General features: G+C 49.0%; 1 protein-coding gene across 3 annotated transcripts in view, besides 1 other annotated feature; it reads left to right on the plus strand.

The window, feature by feature from the left end:
• Positions 1–22,679, plus strand: part of IGSF21 (immunoglobin superfamily member 21) — a 270,686-nt gene that overhangs the window by 98,820 nt on the left and 149,187 nt on the right. For 2 of the 3 annotated variants that reach the window (NM_032880.5, XM_011542319.4), the window contains exon 2: positions 21,281–21,393. In NM_032880.5, coding sequence (NP_116269.3) covers positions 21,281–21,393 — 113 coding nt within the window. Of the gene's footprint in view, positions 1–2,036; positions 2,326–21,280; positions 21,394–22,679 lie in introns of those variants that run through there. The other variant, XM_017002604.3, reaches the window with a different exon arrangement.
• Positions 4,950–5,773: an enhancer, noted in NCBI's record as "H3K4me1 hESC enhancer chr1:18538061-18538884 (GRCh37/hg19 assembly coordinates)". NCBI's record gives its function as "activates a minimal SCP1, AML or CMV promoter by ChIP-STARR-seq in primed H9 embryonic stem cells {active_cell/tissue: H9 hESC(primed)}" and the evidence as "EXISTENCE:reporter gene assay evidence [ECO:0000049][PMID:30033119]".

Consider the following 22,679-nt stretch of genomic DNA (forward strand, 5'->3'; position numbering starts at 1 on the left):
AGCTTGGGATGTTTAGGAATGAGCAAAGAGTCCAATGTAGCTGGAGCAGAGTGGGCCTGAGAAAGTGGTAGAAGTGAGGCTGGAGTGAGAGCTGGGTGCCTCACCGCACAGGCTTCTGGGCCATGGAGAGGACTTTGGCTCTGACTGTTCAGTATGATGGGAGCTACCTAAAGGCTTGGCACAAAGGAGCAGCATGATCTGCTTGATGCTTCAGAGGACTGCTGCTATCTCAGATAAACATGATGTATTGGTCTGCTATTGCTGTGTAACAAATTACTACACACTTAGCAGTTTACAACACCACCTGTCTATTTTCTCACAGTTCTGTAGCTTAGAAGTCTGAGTAGGCTACACTCAGGTCTCTACTCTGGGGCTCACAAGGTCAAAATCAAGGCATTAGCTGACTGGGCTCTTATCTGGAGTCTTAGGAGCAAGAATCCACTTCCAAACCCATTTAAGTTGTTGCAGAATTCAATTCCTTGTGGGTGTAGGACTGAGGTCCCGGCTTCCTTGCTGATTGTCACTCTCTTCTCCTGTAGACTGCCTGCATTTTTCTTCAAAGACAATGAGGGCATGTTGAATCCATCTTGGACTTTGAATCTCTTTGGCCTCCTCTCCCATCCCTAGAGGGAGAAAACTTCCCACTTTTAAGGGCTCATGTGATGAGAGGAGGCCCACTGGGATAATCTCCCTATCTTAAGGTCAAGGGTGTCATGTAACATTACATGATCATGGAGTGATAACCCATCATATTCATAGGTTCTGGTGATTAGGATGCAGAACCTTAGGGAAGGGGATCGTTTTTAGAATTCTGCCCACCTCATGTGAGGCATGGTTTAGCTCTCCTTGCAGGAAAGGCATCTGGGTATGTGGAAGACTCTCTAATATGGACCATGAAATCCAGGGTTACAAAGTCAGGACTACAATACCAGTCCTTATTGCACTCCCTCAAAGAGCATTTATTAAGCACTTCTGCATTCCTAAAAGTGTTTTGCATGATGAAGGATTTAAAACAACAGCAGACAATTGCATATCACTGGGGAGCTGAAACTAATGATGCAGAAAGCAAGTACTGGATTTGGTAAAATGCAAGGGAGCTCAGTGCTAAAGGATGCAAAGGCAGGAAGAATCTGGCAGGGGCTGGGATTCCCTGTTGACACCTCTCCCACCAGACCAGTCCATGTTCTGGTCTGGTGCCTGGCTCAGAAACTAGCAGGTGTTTCATAAATATTTGTCCAGCCAGTGCATGAATCAATGTGCTTCAGTTTTCATACCAGTAAATAGGAGTATTGGCCTCCCCACATGTTTGTGGGAAGATCAGATACAGAAGGGCTGTACACTTGGAAGAAAAAAAACGGGTTCAAAAGTCAGTGTCATTATTTTTGTGAGTGGCAGGAATTCGCTTTGACATGCCCCTGGGAGAGAGATAGGAATTAACAACCACATCAAATGCATATCATTGGCCAACAGGGGAGTTTTCCTAAGGGAAGATTTATCGGAAAAAGTTTGGGTTGGTGGAAGGAATAGCACAGATGCCTGAGGGCCCCTGGGAGGAAGGGAAGGGGCCCAGAGGCCTGGTGGGCATGCTGAAAGCAACCTTCACCTTCTTCATAACCCACCTGATCTCCTTGCCCAGAGCAGAATTCAGTTCCCCTGGGAAGGAATGTGCTGGGAAGCAATTTTTCCTTCCCCTGGGAAGGAAGGAAAATGCTGTCCAAAGGTTTCGGGTTTTGGGCAGTTCTCCTTCAGTTTAGGAATAATATATATATATATATATATTTTTTGAGACGGAGTCTTGCTGTCTCCCAGGCTGGAGTGCAGTGGCGCAATCTCGGCTCACTGCAAGTTCCGCCTCCCGGGTTCACGCCATTCTCCTGCCTCAGCCTCCCGAGCAGCTGGGACTACAGGAGCCCACCATCAAGCCCAGCTAATTTTTTTTTTTTTTTTTTTTTTGTATTTTTAGTAGAGACCGGGTTTCTCCATGTTAGCCAGGATGGTCTTGATCTCCTGACCTCGTTATCCGCCCGCCTCGGCCTCCCAAAGTTCTGGGATTACAGGCATGAGCCACCGTGCCCGGCCCAGTCTAGGAATAATATCTTAATACCAATAACAGACTTTTCTCATAATAGCCCCAAACTGAATGTCCTTCAATAGTACATGGAAGGAATAAGTGGATTGCAATATTTCACACAATGAGATACTAACCAGGACACATTTTTTTGAAAGCACAAACTCCTGATAAATGCAACACATAGAGGAATGTCAGAAACATCATGCTGAGAACGTGTAGCCAGATGCAAAGGGGCACATACTGCAGGATTCCAGGTATGTGGGCTCAAGAAAAAGCAAAGCTAATCTATATGGAGAAGCCAGCATAGAAGTTATCGTGGGGGTGAAGGTAGTGACTGGGGAGGAAGGAGAAGGTGGGAACTTTCTGGGTTTCTGGGAATGGTTGAGTGGTGTCTACATGAGTGTGCACATAAGTAAAAATGCATCGAGTTGCTCGCTTGAGCATTTGTGCATTTAACTATAAATTATACCTACAAAAAGGAATAAAATCATTACAATAGTGGTAGCATCAACCACATTTTGAGTGCTACATTAGCACTATACAGCTATTATCTCCAACCTTGGGAGATAGGCATTATGATTCCTGCTTAATAGATAAAAAGACTGAAGCTTCCTGTGTCCAAGAGCATAGTTAGGAAGTAACATAACAAGATTCCTGGCTGCTTTCTTGGCCTGTCTCAATGCCTTTCCTATCAGGAAGGCCAGGTGACCTGGGCCCAGGGCCTACCCAATACCTGCATACAGAGGGCCCGCCTTCTTTTCTTTTCTTTCTTTCTTTTTTTTTTTAGACAGAGTCTCACTCTGTCGCCCAGGCTGGAGGGCAATGGGGTGACCTTGGCTCACTGCAACCTCTGCCTGCTGGGTTCATGCGATTCTCCTGCCTCAGCCTCCCTAGTAGCTGGGAATACAGGCGCCCGCCACCACACCTGGCTAATTTTTTTTTTTTTTTTTTTTAGTAGAGACAGGGTTTCACTATGTTGGGCAGACTGGTCTCAAACTCCTAACCTTGTGATTTGCCCACCTTGGCCTCGTAAAGTGCTGAGATTACAGGCGTGAGCCACCGCACCCGGCCAGGCCTGCTTTCTTTTCTAAATGGTACTGGACAGTTGGTGGAGTGTGCCCTGCCCTGGTCCTGTCATTTCTTGTCCCTGGAGACAAACCTGCCCCAGACACGGTCCATGCATCCGTTGCCTTGAGGCCCCAGGCCTTTCTGTCTTCATGTAGAATCTGGCAGCCTGCAGATTGGGAATAAATGATCTTCTGTTCACCCCACCCCGGCCCACTTGCTCCTCACCCAACCCCTCCATTCAATGAGACGTCTACAGTCTGCACCTGGGCCTTCAGCAGGACGAAGTTAGATGGTGTGTGAATCAGGTACAAATAGCCTTCGGGTGACATCCAGGCACTCTATAACCATGCAACTGTAATAGGCTGATGTTTCTCTTGCTGGATGTAGGATGTATGCATTTAATGAAGTATTAATATGAAGACCGGATTGCTTCTCCTGTCAAGTGGAAGAACGAGATTAGAGAGGAGAGAGAAGCTGGGTGCTCCCCTGGGAAGAGGGATCCCCCCCAGACACTCTCCTTTGTGAGCCAGGACTCCTTTGCTTTGCAGAATAAATGCATCCTAACAGAGTGACTGTAAAGGGACTTTCTCATAGGATTTTTGCATTGCAAAATCAAAATATGTTCCAGAGAGCAGGAAAGATGCTCCCATGGAGTGAGTGGATCTAGTTTAGTGGCAAAGAAGTTTGGCTGAATGTCAGGTGTTAGGCATAGCTAGTGTGGGGTAACGTTTGGGGAGAAGTTTTCCAGTAATCCATACTTCCAGCTTTCGACGGCCGGTCCTGGTGTTGGAGACTCTCTCTGCTGTGCTAGGGAACTCCTGAGTCCACGTGCATACCCCCCTGAAGTTTGTTTTCTTACCTTTATTGCAGGGTGTCTCAGCCTCAGAACTTCTTGTGCTTGGAGCCAGATGACTCTTGGTTGTGGGGCTGTCCCCGCACTGCAGGGTGTTTAGCAGCATCACCGGTTCCTGCACACCAGATGCCAGTAGCGCAGCCCCCCTCCAGTTGTGATAGCAGAAAATGTCTTCAGACATTGCCAAGTGTCCCCTGGGGGTCAAAAATCACCCCTGGTTGAGAACCACTCTGCTTTCTTGAACCATCTCTTTATTTTATTTTATTTTATTTTTTGGAGACAGAGTCTCACTCTGTCACTCAGGCTGGAGTGCAGTGGCGTGATCTAGGCTCACTGCAGCCTCCACCTCCTATGTCCAAGTGGTCCTCCCACCTCAGCCTCCTGACTAGCTAGCTAGGTTTACAAGTGTGCACCAACACACCCAGCTAATTTTTGTGTTTTTAGTAGAGATGGGGTTTCACCATATTAGCCAGGCTGGTCTTGAACTTCTGTCCTCAAGTGATCCGCCCTCCTTGGCCTCCCAAAGTGCTGGGATTACAGGCATGAGCCACTGTGCCTGGCCTTCCCTGGACCATTTCTAACGGCTGCTAGAGTGGAGATGTGAAATCTCCCTGGGCCAGTCGGGCTGTTGCCCTGATAACTAAGCTGCCCAGCTTGAAGAGTCTGAACTCAAGAGCTTTGATCCTGCAAGAAGAGTCCATTCCCTTGTTCTTCAGTGGGAAAACCCTGTCACCTGAGTTCATTTAAAACTGATGCAAATCCAGAGAGCAAAGCCACGCTGCATTCAGAACATGTCTTAAGACAATAGGTTCAAGGAAACAGCGTTGTTACTGAGCAAATTCCCTTTGCAAATTTCCAGGCCCTTCCGTGCCAAAGCAAGGTAATCCAGTTTAATGCGAGTTGCCTTTTTGGGAGAGAAAAATAAAAGGCAAAATATTTAAGGATTCCTTTATTCTGCTTTTAGCTTCTGAGCCCAGCAATTAATTCGTATGTGCTAAAGGACTTCTGTGTTTATGAGGCATTATTATTTAATGTAGGCCTATTTTAAATTGTAATTTTTTTCATTAAGTTGCCTCTTTTCACTTATTAAGACCAGTTTTATAACCTAGCATAGACTGTATTCCTTGAGTAATAACTATTTTTCTTTTAAAATATTCCTTAATAACCCATCATCCATATTTTAAATTTTATTCTGAGTCAGAGATGCCTCCCTGTTGCTCACACGTCTCTCCTCATGATTCTGAGTAATGTTGGAGGATACAGGGCTGCCAGATCCTCTGCCAGCTTTGCTTTAAGTCTCAGTGCAGAAAGCGAAACAGCAGCCACTGGTGACTGCCCAGCCTCCACGCTCCTGAGGCCCATGTGGAGCAGCCAACAGGTTGGGCCATCTGCCTCACAGCTTCCCAGCAATGTTCCATAAGGCAGGCTTGCTGGGAGCAGCTGATGGGGGTGGAGGGGCGCAGAGAAGTGGGATAGCTGCAGGGAGCTGGAGCATGGCAGGGCAGTGAATCCCAGGTCATCTGCGGCAGCACGGCCCCCGGGTGCCGGGCACAGTGCTATGGTCCTTGCCTGGGCCATCTCTCTGCATCTCCCCTTGCCAGCCTTAAGAAGTAAAGAGAATTATCCCATTTTGCAGAAGTGGAAACTGAAGCTCAGAACAGTGGCGTGACTTATTCAGGGTTGCAAGGCTAGCTTGTGATAGAGTCAGAAGCTGTCCCCAGGTCTGTCTGATTCCCAAGCTCAAAGTTATAATCTCTCAGCACTAGTGGTCCTGACAATTCTCCTACAAGCAATGAGACCAACTTCTCCAATAGAACATTTCAGAACACCTTCCCTGCTGTTCTCATCTTGGCATCACCATTGTCCTGAGAAATAAGCGCCATGAGCCCATTTTTCCGATGAGATAGATGACTGAGGCCCAGAGAGGAGTAGGGACTTGCCCTTTGTGTCCATGGCAGAATGAGGGCTAGCCCGGGGTCTTCTGCTTCAAGGTCTGGGCTGCTTTCTTTTCTTCCTGCCTCAGCCTGTGGTTTCCCTATTGCTGACTGCACCACCAGCCCAACCCAGGGGGGGTCCTGGCCCCTCTGCTCAACATGCCCCTGGCCCTGGAGAGGGCACTGCAAAGACAGCCATGGGCTGTCAGGGCACCTCACAAGCATCCTGTGGTCACATTGGTCTCAGCCCTCCTCCCTGTCAGCAGTTTCAGCTGTTCCTTGGATGCAGGATTGACCCAGGGTTAAGAAAATGGGAATTCCCCTCACCCACCACCAAGGACATGGAGAAAGTTCCAGAGGGTGACCACAGGCTGTCAGATGAAAGACGGTCAGGGAAAAGACACTAGTATGGTAGAAAGGTCATAGGACTGTGCTTTAGGAGACAGGGGTCCTGGTCTTGAGTTGCCTGTTAATTGGCTCTGTGGCCTTGGCCCGGGGCTTTCTCTTCCCTGGGCCTTGATTTATCCATCTGTGTAACAAAAGGGTTTCAATTCCAGATCCTTAAGTCCCCTCCCTCTGATATCCTGCCATGGGAAACCTCCTTTGGGATGCCAATTCAGCAACAGTATGGCCAGACCCACTGATTTATTTTGTTGCTTTTTCATTCATCTTATTCATTCATTCACTTTTTTTCCACCAAGAACGTTATTGAATTCCCACTGTATGCAATGCATTAGTGGAATGTAATAGTAGACTAACTGCTGTAACAAACCAAATTTCAGCAGCTTAACACAGTGGTATTTTATATCTTATTCATATCAGGGCTTTTGGGGACCATAGGAGGACTTGGCTCCATACAGTCATTCAAGTACCCAGGTTTCTTTCATCCTTTCATCTTATGATCCACCCTCTGCCAAGTCCTCAGAGCCCTCCCCACCCTGGTGATGAATGGAGAGAGAGGGTGTGCAGGCAGCATGGGAGGTTTCTAGGGGCCAAGCAGGAAAGTCATATTCCCCTGGCCAGGATATAGTCACATGGCCCTGCCAAACTGCAAGTACTGCCTGAGTAGCTAGGAGGGAAAGGAAATGGAGTGTGGGGAGCACACGGCCATCTTCCTGGGTCTGGGCAACACACACACAGCACAGAGCAAGGACCATGTACAAGACAGAAGCTTCAGATCCCAATTTGAGCTCGGGTGAAGGAGTCTGGGACAAACACAAGAACGTGAGGTCCCAGGTGGACCCGGAATTGGCAGGCCCAGCATTGCATCCCACAGGAATCCCTCTCATCAGCCCAGGATCTGCTGCCTAAGGAAGCTTTTCCCTAGTCTCATCACCTTCCCTGCCCAACACTTCAAAGGCCTGAGGACTGACTGAGCAAGTCCTGCCCTTCTCTGGCCTCATTGTCACCCATCCATAAAATGGGAAGAAAAATGACCAACATTAGCTTTGCAGGGAATTGGAGGAGCATCAGGTGTCTACAAAGGGCCATAGAACAGCCTTCCCAAGTCTTATTAATAGTATAAGCATATCATTATCAATAATGAAACACATATTAATAATAAATAAACAAACTAATGATAAATAATACATACATCATGAATAATACATTAATCCTACAAGTTTTTGAACATCTATTGCCTCTGACAGAGGGGAATTTGATTAGTTTGCTGGAGATTAGAGAGGGGGAATATTTCAAAAGAGCCCGGGAGGTCGGGGCAGGGGATGGATGCCAGAAAGCACCGGGGACTGCTCCCTGCAAAGGCTGTAAATCATTTGAGGTCCCTGGTGGCCCAGAGCTGAGCTGACCTGTTAGGGGAGGTGAGAACCAGGAATCTTGAGTGAGATGCTCCCCCTCTGATGTTCTTTCATGGCCCAAATTTAGGATGGGAAATCTATAGCTCAATAAGGCAAAAAGTATCCAGCCGCAGCAAAAGTAGAGTTCATGGTCCAGGCTGGGCCAGTTGAACATACCTATTATATTAGTCTGTTTTCACACTGCTATAAAGAACTACATGAAACTGGGTAATTTATAAAGAAAAGAGGTTTAATTGACTCACAGTTCTGCATGGTTGGGGAGGCCTTGGGAAACTTACAGTCATGGAGGAAGGTGAAGGGGAAGCAACGTATATCTTACATGCAGGCAGGAGAGAGAGAAAGCGGGAGAGAAAGTTCCACAATTTTTTGTTTTTGTTTTGGTTTCTGTTTTTTGAGACGGAGTCTTGCTCTGTCGCCAGGCTGGCCAGGCTGGAGTACAGTGGCGTGATCTCAGCTTACTGCAACTTTGCCTCCCGGGTTCAAGCAATTCTCCTGCCTAGCCTCCCAAGTAGCTGGGACTACAGGTGCACGCCACCACACCAAGCTAATTTTTGTATTTTTAGTAGAGACGGGGTTTCACCATGTTGGGCAGGATGGTCTTGATCTCTTGACCTCGTGATCCGCCCTCCTCGGCCTCCCAAAGTGCCAAGATTACAGGCGTGAGCCACTGCGCCTGGCCAGTACCACACTTTTAAACCATCAGATCTCATGAGATCTCACTCACTCACAAGAACAGCATGGGAGAAATCTGCCCCCGTGATCCAGTCACCTCCCACCAGATCCCTCCCCTGACACGTGGGGATTACAATTCAGGATGAGATTTGGGTGGGGACACAGAGCGAAACCATATCACCTGTAGAACTTATTAGTTCATTCATGGATTCATTCATAGATTCATGGATTCATTCATTCATTCAATGTGTCCTCAATGCCAGTAGTGTGGCCAGCAACACGCAAAGCACTAAGAATGTAGTAACAGAGACAGGCATTTGGCCCGTTAGAGGCTCCCAGTCTGCTGTGGGAAACAGACTGGCAAAAAGAAGTGTCCTCATGCAATGAGTTAGGGCTATGGTAGATGCTGTGAGAGGGCCACCTAACCCAGATTTGGGAATGCTGGGCATGGGGTAGGTGAAGCTGGAGTGTACATCAGGAGTGGTCTTTGGGGTAAATGACATCTAAGCTAAGACCTGAAGGACATAGCGAAGTGATGGGGGCAAAGTGACGGTCTTCCAGGCCAAAGGAACGGCAGGTGCATAGACCCAGTGGCCCGATGCAGCCTGACATACTTGGGGAGCTCTAAGTAAGTCAGGATGGCTGTGGCTCAGGGTGCAAAAGATAGAAGGGCAAGAGATGAGCAGAGCAGGAGGAAGACCCATGAGTGGTTTTGTATAGGGGTCAGGGGTTTGGACTTCATCCCAAAGGCAACAGGGAGACAAAGAAGAATTTGGATGCAGGCCAGGACATGAGCAACCTGGGCTACAGCATAATCCACATTGTTCCAGGGCTCCATGGCTCACAAATCCCCGTAAGGTACAGTGTTCATGTCTTGGTTCATTCATTACTTTATTTGTGCAGCACACTCACTGAGCACCCATCCTGTGTCAAGCATTATGCAGAGGTGCATACCGGGTCCCTGGGCTTGAGCGCTAGTCTGATGTCTGAGACAGACACACGAAGAACCACATGTTATATTACAATGGAATGTGTTTGGGCTGTGACTGAGATGTTTACAAAGGTCTATGAGCTCAGGAGAGGGTGTATCAGACTCATATCAGTCAAGGAGGGGGTGACCATCACATTGAACCTGGAAGGATGCAAATTACCCTAGGTGAACTCAGAGGAGAAGGGTGTTCCAGGAAGAGGAAACAGCACAGGGAAAAATAATTGGAGGGGTTTGGAAGGGCTGATGAGGGTGCTGCAAGGTGGGCAAAGGCACAATGTGAGACTGATTGAGTTGGAGGGGCAAAGAGAGGCAAGCTCATAAGGGACTCAGTTGGCCATGACAGTCTGAACTTTATCCTGAATTGGAAGGCAATGGGGCAGGGAAATTGAATGGCATTAACCAGAGAGGTGGCATCATCATATTTGCATTTTAGAAATATCATTGAGATTTTAGGGGGCTGGGTACCTTAGAGGGACAAGTTTGGGGGCCAGAGACCAGTGAGCTGGCTATTGCAGAGTTCCACCAGGAGATGTGGAGGGTCCAAACTGAGGCCAGATTGGTGCAGAGTGGAGTGAAAAAGACAGTTGTGAGAGTTATTGGAGAAGCAGAATTGATCCGTCTTAGAGACTGATGACCTGTTAGCTTTCCCCCTCTTTATGGAGTGGCTTTCTTTTCTTAAAGGCACTGCCCACTCCTGGCCCCACCTCTCACCCTTTTTTCGGCCAACAAGGAGGTAGATGGTTGGGAGTGCCCATTAGTCCAGCATGGAAGAGTGTATTTCACAGAACTCTCTGTACCTGCCTAGAAGATATGGTTGCAGTAATTGGTTTGTTGTAATAATATTTATTACAATAGTAATTATGTAGCACTGGAACCCAGGGAGGATGTCCTTAGTGCCAAGATAGGGTATTTGTCTTCATGAGATAGGGGTGACCTCTTTTCTTCATGAGTGGTAGTGCGTGGAGCTCCTGTTATCACATGGAGATAAATTCCAGACCCACAGCAGGGGGAGGGTGGTGCGAGGAATTTATGTGGCCCTGACTGTCATGGTCCATCCCAGCAAGACCTAAAATCCAGCTAGTGGAGCTGCTGCCAACCACCTGACCACCCGTCTGCCCCAGGTCAAGTTGTGGTGTGATCCACAATGGTTCTCTTAGGAGATAAGGGTCCTTGAATTCTTGTCACCACTGCTGCACTTCCAGATGCAGAGTGGGCTGAGAACCTGTCCCTGCTCTCAGGAACTCCTAGTCCAATGGCAGACATACCCGCTGCCCCCTGAGGAAAGGATGGATGACCCATGTTGCTTTTCAGTCTTCACTAATTACTTGCTATCAATAAGTAATGGTTTGGGTGATACACGGCAGACACTTCTGGGCCAAAATAACTGGTCCTGAGCTAGGTTCAGAGGACTGTGTGTCAGAGATGTGGCGGAACAAATTGGCCAGCCCAGCCACAAGTCTCTTACAGTTCCAGAGACGTTCTCAGTCAAACACAACTTCCTGGCCCTCCTTGCAGACTTTGCTGGCTTTGAACTTGAAAATGGCCTCAGCCATCTGTCTTCCTGCTGCCACCTTGTGGATGCATTGTGTCCTGTGACTATAGCAGGGTGCTTGACCCTGCTACACTCCAGCAAGACTTCTTGTGTCCTTCCTAGCCCGTAGTCCCACTACCCACTACCCACTCCTGTTTTCAGCTTCTCCATTTAGAAGCAAGGGGGAGTGGGTTGCCATGAGGTGGTGGGAAGAGTGTTGGACTCAGAGTCAAAGGGCCTGCCTGCCAAGCCTGGTTCTCTGTGATGGTGAGAAAGTCACTCTGCATCTATGAGCCTCAGTCTCCTCACCTGTAGAATGGGGACACTATCCGACAGGGTTGCAATGGTAATCAATGAGCTAGTAATTACAGAAATCCTTTGAAAACTGCCAAGCACTGGTCACATGTTCATTTTTTCATTCCTTCAACAATTATTTATTGGGCTCCTACTAAGTGCCAGGCACTGTTCTAGATTCTAGGGATATAGTAGTGTTAGTCCATTCTTGCATTGCTATAAAGGACTGCCTGAGCCTGGGTAATTTATAAAGAAAAGAGGTTTAATTGACTCAAAGTTCTGCAGGCTGTACAGGAAGCATGGCTGGGAGGCCTTGGGAAACTTACAATCATAGCAGAAGGTGAAGGGGAAGCAGGCACATCTTACATGGCTGGAGCAGGAGAAAGTGGGGGAGCTGCTACACACTTTTAAACAAGCAGATCTCTTGAAAACTCACTCATTATCAAGAGAGCAGCAAGGGAAAAGTCTGCCTCCATTGCCCAGTCACCTCCCACCAGGTCCGTCTTCCAACACTGGGTATTACGATTCGACATGAGATTTGGGTGGAGACCACAGAGCCAAATCATATCAAAGTAGTAATTAAACAACACAAAATCAAGGACTTCCAGCTCTGGTGAGATGAAGTGAAGACAAGCCTCATTTCATCTTTCACTAATTCAAATATAAAACCTAGGCAGAATATATGGACATCTATTTGAAAAATCTGAAAAGTAAATACTAGCAGATGGATTGGGGAAAACACTAGAATCAAGGTGCCACATAAAGAATGAAGATAAATAAAACCTACAGTCTTACTGGGTAATACTTAAAAAGTGCAGAATACAAATGAAAATCACTTGATACACACACACAAAAAACCCATGAAAATCTCAACTCACATGGGGAAAGAAAATCAGTAGACTACAATGATGAGATGGCACAGATGGTTGAAGTATCTGACAGAGATTTTGAGGCAGCTATGAAAATGCTTGAACAAGTTATCAAAAACAGTCTTGAAACAAATAATGAAATAGAAAGGCTCAGCAAAGACATAGAAGATATAAAGAAGAGCCAGTTGAAAAAGTAGAGCTGAAAAATACAATAACCAAAATAAAAAACTCACTGACTAGACTCAGTAGCAGAATAGAGATGACAGAGGAAAGAATCAGTGAACTTGGAGGTAGATCAATAGAAATTATCCACTCTGAATAACAGAGAAAAAAGTATTGAAACTCACACACACAGTCTCATGGGGTGTACAGTCTAGTTGGAGGTCAGGGATGTCAACAGACAATAAACAAGTAAGTATATGTAGGCAGTGATAAACGTCTAAGAAGGAGTAAAGCAGGGTAATAAGTCAGAGAGTGACAGGGGTGCTATTTACATGGGGTAGTCGCAAGAGTCTTCTCCAAAGTGGTGACATTTGAGCAGAGAAAGGATTGAGGGATTGAGCCATGTGGGTATCTAGGGAAAGATTGTTCTGGAAGGTGGGAGCAGCAAGGGCAAAGGCCCTGAGGTGAGGATATTCTTAGGAAGCTCAGGGGCCAGCAGCGTTCATTGTGAGTAGAGAAACTGAATGAATTCAGAGTGAGGGGAGCTGAAATCAGAGAGGTAGGGAGGACACAGGGCCAGGTGAAGGCAGAACAGGTGGGCCAGTGAGGAGATGGAGCAGTAGGTGAGGAAACAAATGATGGTGGCCAGGTGCAGAGAGATAGCAGCGGAGGGGTGAGCTAGTTGGATTCTGCATATATTTTATAGAGCTTACAGGCCTTGCTGGCTGCTTTGATGTGAGCATGAGAAAAAGAGGAGGTTCCAAGAAGTAGATTGGTGTGCTCTGAGCTCCCTGATTGGCAAATAGGGGAAACATCACATCATTGTAGGGCCTGTTTCCTTGTGGTGCCTGGAGACAACCAAGAGGTGCATCAGGCAGTGATGGACTGCCTTACAGCAGGGTTCCCTACCCAGGACTTAGGCACGGGCATGGAGGATGTTTGCATTTCTAAGTGTGAAGTTTCCTGGCTAATCTGAGTCCATGCATCTGGGCTTGTGAGATAGCATGAAGAACCACACCCTCATCTGCTGCAAGCTCCTTTGTTAGCTCCCCTCATGGCAAGGAAATGGGAGAAGCCAGGAAGATAGGACAAAAGCTCAGCTCACTGTGACCAGGAGAAGCAGGATATTGTTCAGGATGCAGCAGCAGCTCCTCTTGCAGCCCTGAGTCTGCTGGTTCTGGCACTCACCTGCTGAGGTGGGCACCAAGTTTCTTGCTCGAGGGCCTTGTTGTTATGGTGGTTCAGTTAAGTGCCACTACCTGTAGATTTGTCTGCCTTACAGTCTCTCCCTTACCACCGTGCTGTCTGCTGACGCATGGTTAACGTCTCATATCCTACCATCCTGAGTGAGAGAACCTGATAGGGTGGCCACTCACCACTCAGTGCTGATTTCCTCTGTTGGATGCAGTTCTGATGCTTGGTTTCATGGGAGGCTGTTGGATACTCCAAGCTGGCAGCAGCACCAATCCAAGCAGATGTGGTCAGAGAAGCAGGTTCAGAACACACCTGAGGTCGGGGGAGACTTTGGCTCAGGCTGCTTAGGGAAAAGCCCATTAGAAACAGGTGCCTCTGTGAGGGCCCTCCTGGGAATTATAAAACAGTCAAGGGAATGAGTAGAATCCATTTGTTTCTTTCTTCAACACCATCTTTGATCCAGGTGCTGTTCTAGGCACCTGGGGACCATAGCAAATAGAAACAGTTCATGGCCTGTGTTGAGGTGAGCATACCCTGAATATGTCATTACAAGTAATTTTCGGTGTCCCAAGCAGTAGGAGCAGGAGAGGCAGGAGTGCTTTGAGGACTATGGAAGTTTGAGGAGTTGTTTTCTTGAGGAGGTAACATTTTTGTGAATCCTTGAAGGATGCCCAGGAAATATCCAAGTTACCCAAGTGAGGGAGAGGGCTTAGGGCAGAGGGACAGCCTGTGTTCAGGCCCAGAGGTTAGAGGAGGCTGTGTGTGCAGGAGAGCAGAGGCAGCAGGCCCTGGATGATGAGTGAGAGGTGCCAGAGGAACCTGAGAGCTAGGCATGGGCCAGATCTCCCTGCTGGGAGGATGTGCAACTTTTCCTATGGAGCAATGGGAAGCTCCTGGAGACCCTAAAGAAAGCCAGGGGCGTGCATATTAGAGAAATGATCAGGGACCATGAATGGGTGCAGGAAGCCCATGTTGCATACTTTGTCACCACCACCACCACCACCATTGTCTGAGAACCCAAGAGCAGCCATGCTCTGAGGAGGGGATTACCATTCACTTTCCTTCAGCTTTACACCGAGTCAAGGGAGGCATCGTTACCCCTATTATCCAAATAGGCACAGAGGTTTAAGTGAATTAGCCAGGGCCATCCATGGACCACGGTGAAGTTATAACAAGGGTGAAAACTCATCTCGGTTTGCCAGAAACATTGTCAGTTTTAGGTGCTGAAAGTCTCTCGTCCCAGGAAACCCCCTCAGCCCTGGGCAGATAGGGACATGTGGTGACTCTAACATAATTTATGTCTCTTTTCAGAGACAGGCCCATATCCCTCTCATGGAAGCCCTCGCTGACCCCGTCCCCTGGGGCCAGGCCTGAGCCAGCCCTCTGGACACATCCCCTTGGAGCTGGGAAAGGGCGGGGAGTGATGTCGGGATGTTGCCAGGAGAGTTCCTGGGTGTAGGAGCTATTTGTCATCACCTCATTAGAAGGGTGCCAGGTTCCTAAATATTGCCCGCGATTTTGCTAAATGTATCTGAACAGGAGTGGTGTAAACGCTGTCAGAGATAGAGGGGAGAGTGATGGCACCATCCAGGATAATGAACTGCTTAGTTAAGATGGATCCGTCTCCACTCCTGATCCACTTCTCGATACCGCGCTTAGTGGGGCTCACACATCGAGGCTGATTGGTGGCAAATTTAATGCCCTGAAAGACAGAGCTCCGTCTTCAGCTGGTGGCTGAGTAATTGGTGGATTTGCTTCTCTAAGGAATGGTGTTGAGTTGTACCCAAAAGGAAGGTGGGAAGGTGGCCTCTGCTTCTGGCCTCCCAGGTTCAGGCTCAGTTAGCATCTGATACGGGGTTAGTTGGAGCAGGAAGACCCCCAAAATCAAGCTCCCTTCTCATTTTACAGATGAGGAAACTGAGGCCCAGGAAGAGGGAAAACTTGCCTGAGGTCCCAGCGCTGGGTGGCAGTGTTGCTGAGACCAGAACTCACCTCTCCTCTGCTCTTCACCGCTGTGCTCCTGGCTTCCCCCACCCATGCCTGCTCAGCTGTGCCTCCTCATTCCCAGGGGCTCCATAGGAGGGATGAACCCCGAAGTGCTTCCATTCAGAAACCTCTCCAGGAGGGTCCCCAGCAGAAGCCTTCTTGAGCCTCCTCTCTAGTTTTATGTCCTCTGCCTCGGGGGAGGATCTCACTTTGTGGGTCTCCTGACTTTGACCCCAGCCTGGATGAGATGTCTGGCTGAGCTAGTCATCTCTGAATCTTCTCTTCTCTCCAGTCAGCTTCCAGATGCCAGTCTCTGTTCTTTCAACCTCTACCTTGGAGCTGTCTTTCCTAGACTGGAGAGTGGAATGCTGGAGGGAGTGCAGGCAAGGGAAGGGGGTTGGCGGGAAGCATGGTGCCACCTCGCCCTGATCCAGGATGTCCTGTTTGGGTAGAGCTTGTGTTGAATGAAGCCCTGGACCATGCTTTACCACTTTGGACCCTGTGATTATTCCTGCATCCACATTACACATGGGGAAACTGAGTCCCATGGCAGTCCCATAACTTGCCCAGGTCGCTACTGAATGCTAGAGTGAGAAACTCGATTCTATCGACAGACTTCAAATTCTGGGGAGGTACATGGGTGGAGAAGAGCCAGGAAGGATGGGGAGGAGATTTTCAGGAAAAGAATCCGTGCAGGGTATGTGGAAGATGATGGAATTTTGTGAGATCAGGGCTGGGGGAATATTAATTGGACCTAGAGGAGAACTTTTCCTGTGTTTTTCTCTTGGAAACAGCTCCCTTGCTATATGAACCCTTGCCATCTCCTCTCCTGTGTGTGTCTGTGTCTCAGAGGTGTTTTCTCACCTGTGATCCAGGTGTTGATTGGTGCTGTCATAGCCTTGCCTGGCACATCTGTTGGAAAATCACCTTGCTTTCCACCTTCTCCCTCCTCACCCCAGCCAGAGAGCCCACCTCCAGACCTGAGACTTAGACCCCACACATCACCTGATGTTTGTCCTGGCCTTGGATAAGAAGGGTGGAGCCCACAGCTCATTGCCAGGCTCTGACCTCAAGCCCTGAGGCAGTAGGGTCTCCCCTCTGCCCACCATCTCTCACGTGAGCCTGGCCCCAACCCCAGGTCTCTCTGTTTATGGTTCCTATCATTCAGTGTGTAATTCTGGGTCAGTCCTTTCCCCACTCACCTGGCCCAGCTCCTGCACTGGCTTCCCTGCCCTGTCTGAGAGCCAGGCAGCTGGTGAAGACTCAGTGGCAATCGATGGAGCTGCAAACTGGGGGATACCACCCAGAATTCCCAAGAGACCCCATCAAGTAGTATGTTCTGCTCCAGCCAGTAGCAAGAAGTGGTAGAAAGAAGTTGGCTTTGGAGCCAGATAGCTCTGGGTTCAGATCCCAGCTTGGCTGCTCTGTCCATGAGGCATGGAATGAGGTGCTCCATAGCTCTGAACAGTAGCTCGTTCCTGTCTGTGACAGAGGCATATTTACAGGAGGGTACGAGGACCCAAACTGCCTGTGCCCATGAACGCTCAGAATGCATCGCTTATTGTATTCATATTTTAATACTCTACTGATATTAATGGAATTCATATTCCAGAAGGAGAGGCAGATGTGCAAACAGACAATTGCACTCCAGTGTGACATACTCATGGTCGTGGCATCGTACAAGGCACTGGTTGCTGCCTGAGCTGCTGAAAAAATGGGAGTGAGAGTGCTGGGAAAACTAAGTGACACATGCTCAGGCAAGGAGTTTTAGTCCTTAGAGCTAAACCTGTCTCTGCAGCCTGGAAACCCCACTCCCTCAGCTTCCTGCGGGGATGAGAAGGGGAGTGCCCAGCTACGAGCATTTCTCCTCCTGGCTGCTACCATGACTCCAAGTAGGGCCATCCCTGGAATGGAAGACACAGTCACTCCTGCCTCGGTTTACAGTGGTGTTTCCCGACATTTGTTTTCAAGGACTCCAGCAGGGCTGAGACTAGGGTGAAGCTAGCCAGGTGCACAGGGGGTAACATTCAAAGAGGCACCCACTCACTCTCAGGATGGTGCAATGAGACGGTGTCCTTTAATTTTGCACTGCAGGCCCCTTGCTTGTCTCACTGTATTCGCTCCCATTCCTGGCTCAGGTTCTACAAGATGCTCTGAAAAAGATGGGCTCCAGAGTGTAAAATATGAAGAAAAATTTCCCACTCTGGCCCAAACTTGGAGGGTCACAAGGCACTGTGAGCACACACTCCAGCTTCAGGGCCTTTGCGCTTGACATGTCTTCTGCCTGGAATGCTCTCTCCTCAATACCCCTATGGCTCACACCTTCCTTTATTCCAGCCTCCTCAGAAGGGCCTCCCAGGGCCCCTCTGGCTAAAGAAGCCCCTCCCCCATTGCCTTCTATCACTTCACTCTGCTTTGCTTTTCCTCATTATGTTTATCACCACTGGACATATTTTCCATCATTTATTTGATTATGGGCTCTTCTGCTAAACTGGCAGCTCCATGAGGACAGGGACGTGTCTATTGTTACTGATATGTCCCCATTGCCTACAACGGTGCCTGGTACGGAATAGATTCTCAATTAATTTGTTTTTCATGCATAAAGGAAAGACAGGAAGAAGGAAGGAGAGAAAGTTAAGAGAAGTCCTGAAGGGAAGAACGGGTTTAATTATACTTAACCCAATATCTCTTAAAATTCATGGATGTTGGAAATCATGTTTTCCTGCCAGACATGGTGGCTCATGCCTGTAATTCTAGCACTTTGGGAGGCCCAGGCGGGTGGATCACTTGAGGTCAGGAGTTTGAGATCACCCTGGCCGACATGGTGAAACCCCATCTCTACTAAAAATACAAAAATTAGCTGGGTATGGTGGCAAGCACCTGTAATCCCAGCTACTCAGGAGGCTGAGGCAGGAGAATTGCCTGAACCCGGTAGGTGGAGGCTGCAGTGAGCCAAGATCACACCACTGCACTCCAGCCTGGATGACAGAGTGAGACTCTGTATCTCTCTCTCTCTCTCTCTCTCTCACACACACACACACACACACACACACACACACACACACACACAAAGAAATCATGTTTCCTGAAACACTGGTGAGAAGATCCCTATTCTCTGCACACTCTGGGAAAAGCTGTCTTGTCTTAACCTGTCAGAGCCACCCCACTCCTGCACACACTTCCTGATTCACCTCTAAGACTGAGTGCGTATGCAGTGGGCTCTCTGATCTCACCCTGGCATGCCTCTGTGAATTCTACTGCCCCAGACATCTGCTGCGCCTGCCAGTGCTCCTAACACTACCACCCAATCACCAGAGCTGCAACCACTCCCCTACTTGCCCTCCCCGCCACCGCCACACTTACACTTGCAATTCCCTCATGGCTTGCCAACAAATGGTGACCCTCCATCCTGCCCTGCCTGCCTCACAGGCACACACCATCTGCACCCACCTCGGGCTGCTCAAAGATTTATGCATCTGAGAATATGTCCTTCCCTCCTCTTTCCAGTGGGAGGAGGACCTTCATGAGCCTTGATCTCATCAGCCATCTGGACTGATGAGGCTCAACTCATAACTATATCTGCAAAGGTGAGAGAGAGCCCAGGGGAGGGCAGCCTCACTGGAAGATTGAGCCACGTGGCTCAGAATTGTGGCCATGGGGTCAGGTCCTCAACTCCTATCACAGTTCCTGCCACAATGCCCATCCTCCATCTTTAGGGCTGGAAGAAAAAAGTATGCAGGCTGCAGATGTACAGTGTTTGCCACTTTCTCTCACCTCTTCCGAGAGGCTGTAATAGCGTGGTGGTTGTCATGGAGCCCGAAGGTTTGGGTTTGAATTCCAGCTCTGTAACTTGCAGCTGTGTGATCTGGCAGGGGACTTCACCTCTTGGTTCACTCACAGAAAGTGGGAATCATAATAGTTCCTCTCTCCTAGGAGTGTCCTGGTGATTAAGTGAGTAGATGCATATCATATCAAGTGCTTAGCCCAGTGCCTGGCACAAAGCAGGTGTGCACATGTGAGCCAGTATCACAATGTTACACTCAGGCTTGGCTTGCCCGGAGGTCTCCCTTTCCGTGGGGTCTGTCCTCCTGAAGGTGGCCTCCTTGTTTGTCATGCCCCATGGCTGGGATCATCCAGGCTGGATCAGATTCCCTCTGTGCCCACCCACAGGCCCCCGTCCGCCTACCTAGAGGCTGGCTGGTCACCTGAGTGGTGACTGTGTTGGGCATCTCTGTCTCACCCTCACTGCTTGTTCCTGGAGGGCCGAGCAATGCCTGGGTCTCTGCTTCCCAGATCCTGGCCCCAGGCCCGCACAGGGTAGGTGGGAGTGAACTGGGGTTGAGTAAATGAGGAAAGGAGGATCCGGGTTGGTCCTTCTGATCTTGGAAGTTGGACCGGTTGGTTGTGGTTGTGGCTTTGTCAGACCAAGTGGGCTCCAGGGCTATCCAGGGGCTTGACCTCTGGCCTAAGTTACAGGCCTCCCTGGAGTGAGCTCCTTGCCTTGCCCCTCACCCTGGAGGCTGGGTCCTGAAGCCTTGGACCGTGCAGGTCCGCTCTGACTCCAACTTCCAAATTGATCCTCTCCAGGTCGATTCTTGTTTTGTTTTGTTTTTTGTTTTCCTGGAGTGTTGTAACCATTGAGTTCCAGGCAGGGGTCAGGCCCATGGGCTCCATCTATTCAGCTTGCCTGCACAATTGAAATCTTCGAACCCATCCTGGCTAGTTTTCTCATTAAGACTATCGGACTGGATTGATCCATTAGATCAATGACTGGACATCAGCCGGCAGGAAGCCGATCAGATGAGCCTGGATGATCAGCCCAGGAATGAGGTTCCCCTCGGAACTGCGGTGAAGGTCCAGGCCTCTGGGATGGGGCTAGTGGAGGCAGAGGAGTGGGTTAGAGGCCTCACCAGACTAGACTTTGGTGTGGAGAGAGCAGTGTCCCCAAGGTGTGGCTACCAGGGCAAGAGTCCCAGCGTCTGCTCCAGGCACTCCCAGGGGCAGCTGGTAGTAGTCCGGGAAGCATCACCTGGTGTTTGCAATGAGTTCAGACTCCTCCCCAGATAGTGGGTCTATAATGGACTTCTCTAACATATCACCACTGCCATGGCCAAGGCTTGGACCCGACCCTCCCTTTAGGTGGCAAAGTATGTGTGGTGGGAAAGCCAATGGAGGGTGTTAAGGAAGCCAATGGTGGTTTCCCAGGGCTCTCTTTTTACCAGGAGTCATTTGTTTATGAGGTTGGAAATGGAGGAGTATGGGCACTTAGAACACCATGTCCCAGTGTGTATTTCTCAGATCCTGGCTGCGTAGGATGGTGGTGGGGCTTAAGGGGTGGCTGAGCGACCCATATTCAAATAGGTTTGGAAATGCCAAGTAAATACATTTCGGCATTCATTTCCTGCAGGACCGAATAGATGAATCATGAATGCCACAACTCTAAAAAGGGGTGGAGGGGCGATGTTGGGGCACAGAAGCCTTCTCTGGGGTATCTTATAGAAATACATTGAGGCTGTTCTTGGAGGTGCCAGCAGGTCCTACCTTCAGGGAAAAATGTGTCCCAAGCAGAAGTGTTTTTGGTTTGGAGGGATCCATTGGAGCCAGGGAGGCAGCCAAAAAGGAGATGTTGAAGAGAGGGAAGAAGAGGGTGATTGGCTCCATTTGGGCCTGCAGTCACCATTCACAGAAACCACAGTGTGAACAGCGTCCCTCAAAGTTGTGCAACTACAGACCCCAAACTTCCCTCCTCTGTCTGCTGTCTCCCTGGCCCTGCCCTCATCAGCCCAGCCCCTCTGATCTGCTCGTGCCCTTACCACCCCTTTCTCCTCTCTTCTGTAGGCTACCTGACAGTCAACATTGAGCCTCTCCCCCCTGTGGTGGCTGGAGACGCCGTGACTTTGAAGTGTAACTTCAAGACAGATGGGCGCATGCGGGAGATCGTGTGGTACCGGGTAAGTCACTACTACTGCCCCCTTCATGCCCATGGCCAGGACTGGTGTGAGGTCCTCAGAGCCCTCTGGACACCCTCACTGGTGTGGCTATGACCTCAGCCCTGACCCAGTCCTGAGTTGTCCTGGGCATCTGCTGGGTCCCCGCCCTCTGCTGACACCCTCCTTGGGTACTAGCCATCCCTTCTACCCTCAGGACTGATCTGGTTTCCACCTTCTTTGTGCTCCTATTATGCCCCTACGCTTGGAAAACTCCATTAGGCAAAGTAGAAGTTACTGAGAACACCCTGGACCCTGGGCACAGTGTAATCACAAGTGATATCTGATGGTGGAATTTTGAGCATGAGGCTTCGGATAATGTTTTTGGCAAGGGAGAGAGAAAAACAGGAAGGCTTCCTGCCTTTTGCAAAATCAAATCACAGAGATAGTCTGCCACCTAATCTGACTACGTATAGGACTAATCCTGGTGTCTGGCACCATCTGAGAAGGGAATTGGTTAGAGATGAGAAGGTACCCACCTGCCCAGGGCCCAGGTGTTGGCACCAGGAAGAACAGCTTGGAATCTTGAGCACAAGGGGCCTTTTCAACCACTGAGTGAAATCTTCTTGTGTCTGGATGGGGCATCCCAGTCTTCTATCCCTTTGCCACAAAGGAATTGGGGCTGGGCTCAGAAGGTCCAGGGGGCAGTGATGCTTTTCTTCCAATGCATGCTTGAGTGTGCACAGATAAAGGCACCACCATCCTGGGGGAGAACTCCTCTTCTGTCATCTAAACAGGGGTTGGCAACATTTTTTGGTGACGACTGAGATTGTAAATATTCTCCTGTCTGCCAAACATTCAGTCTTGGTCACAGTTACTCAACTCTGCTGGTATGGCATCAAAACAGCCACAGACAGTGTGTAAATGAAAGGGCATGGCTGTGTGTCAATGAAACTTTACTCATGGGCACCAAAGTCTGAATTTTGTACAAGGTTCATGTGTCATAATTTCTTCTTCTTTTTATTTTTTTTCAATGATTAAAAAAGGTAAAAACTGTTCTTAGCTCGCTGGCTGTACAGAACAGGCTATAGAATGACTTGGTTCATGGGCTATAGTTTGCAAATCCCTGATCAGAAACCACGCTTTCCTAATCTTTGTTGCCCTTTCTTCAAATGAAACGGATGGATAGCACAGTTAGGTGGAGCTGTTCTGGAGGAAGTGATGGAGCATGGAAGAGAGGGCAAGGAAGGTGGGGGGTGGGCACCAAACTGTGATTCAAGATCTAGAGCTGGCTCCTCTGCTCCTTGGAG

Source organism: Homo sapiens, chromosome 1 (assembly GCF_000001405.40).
Source record: "Homo sapiens chromosome 1, GRCh38.p14 Primary Assembly".
In the NCBI taxonomy this organism is placed as follows: Eukaryota; Metazoa; Chordata; class Mammalia; order Primates; family Hominidae; genus Homo; species Homo sapiens.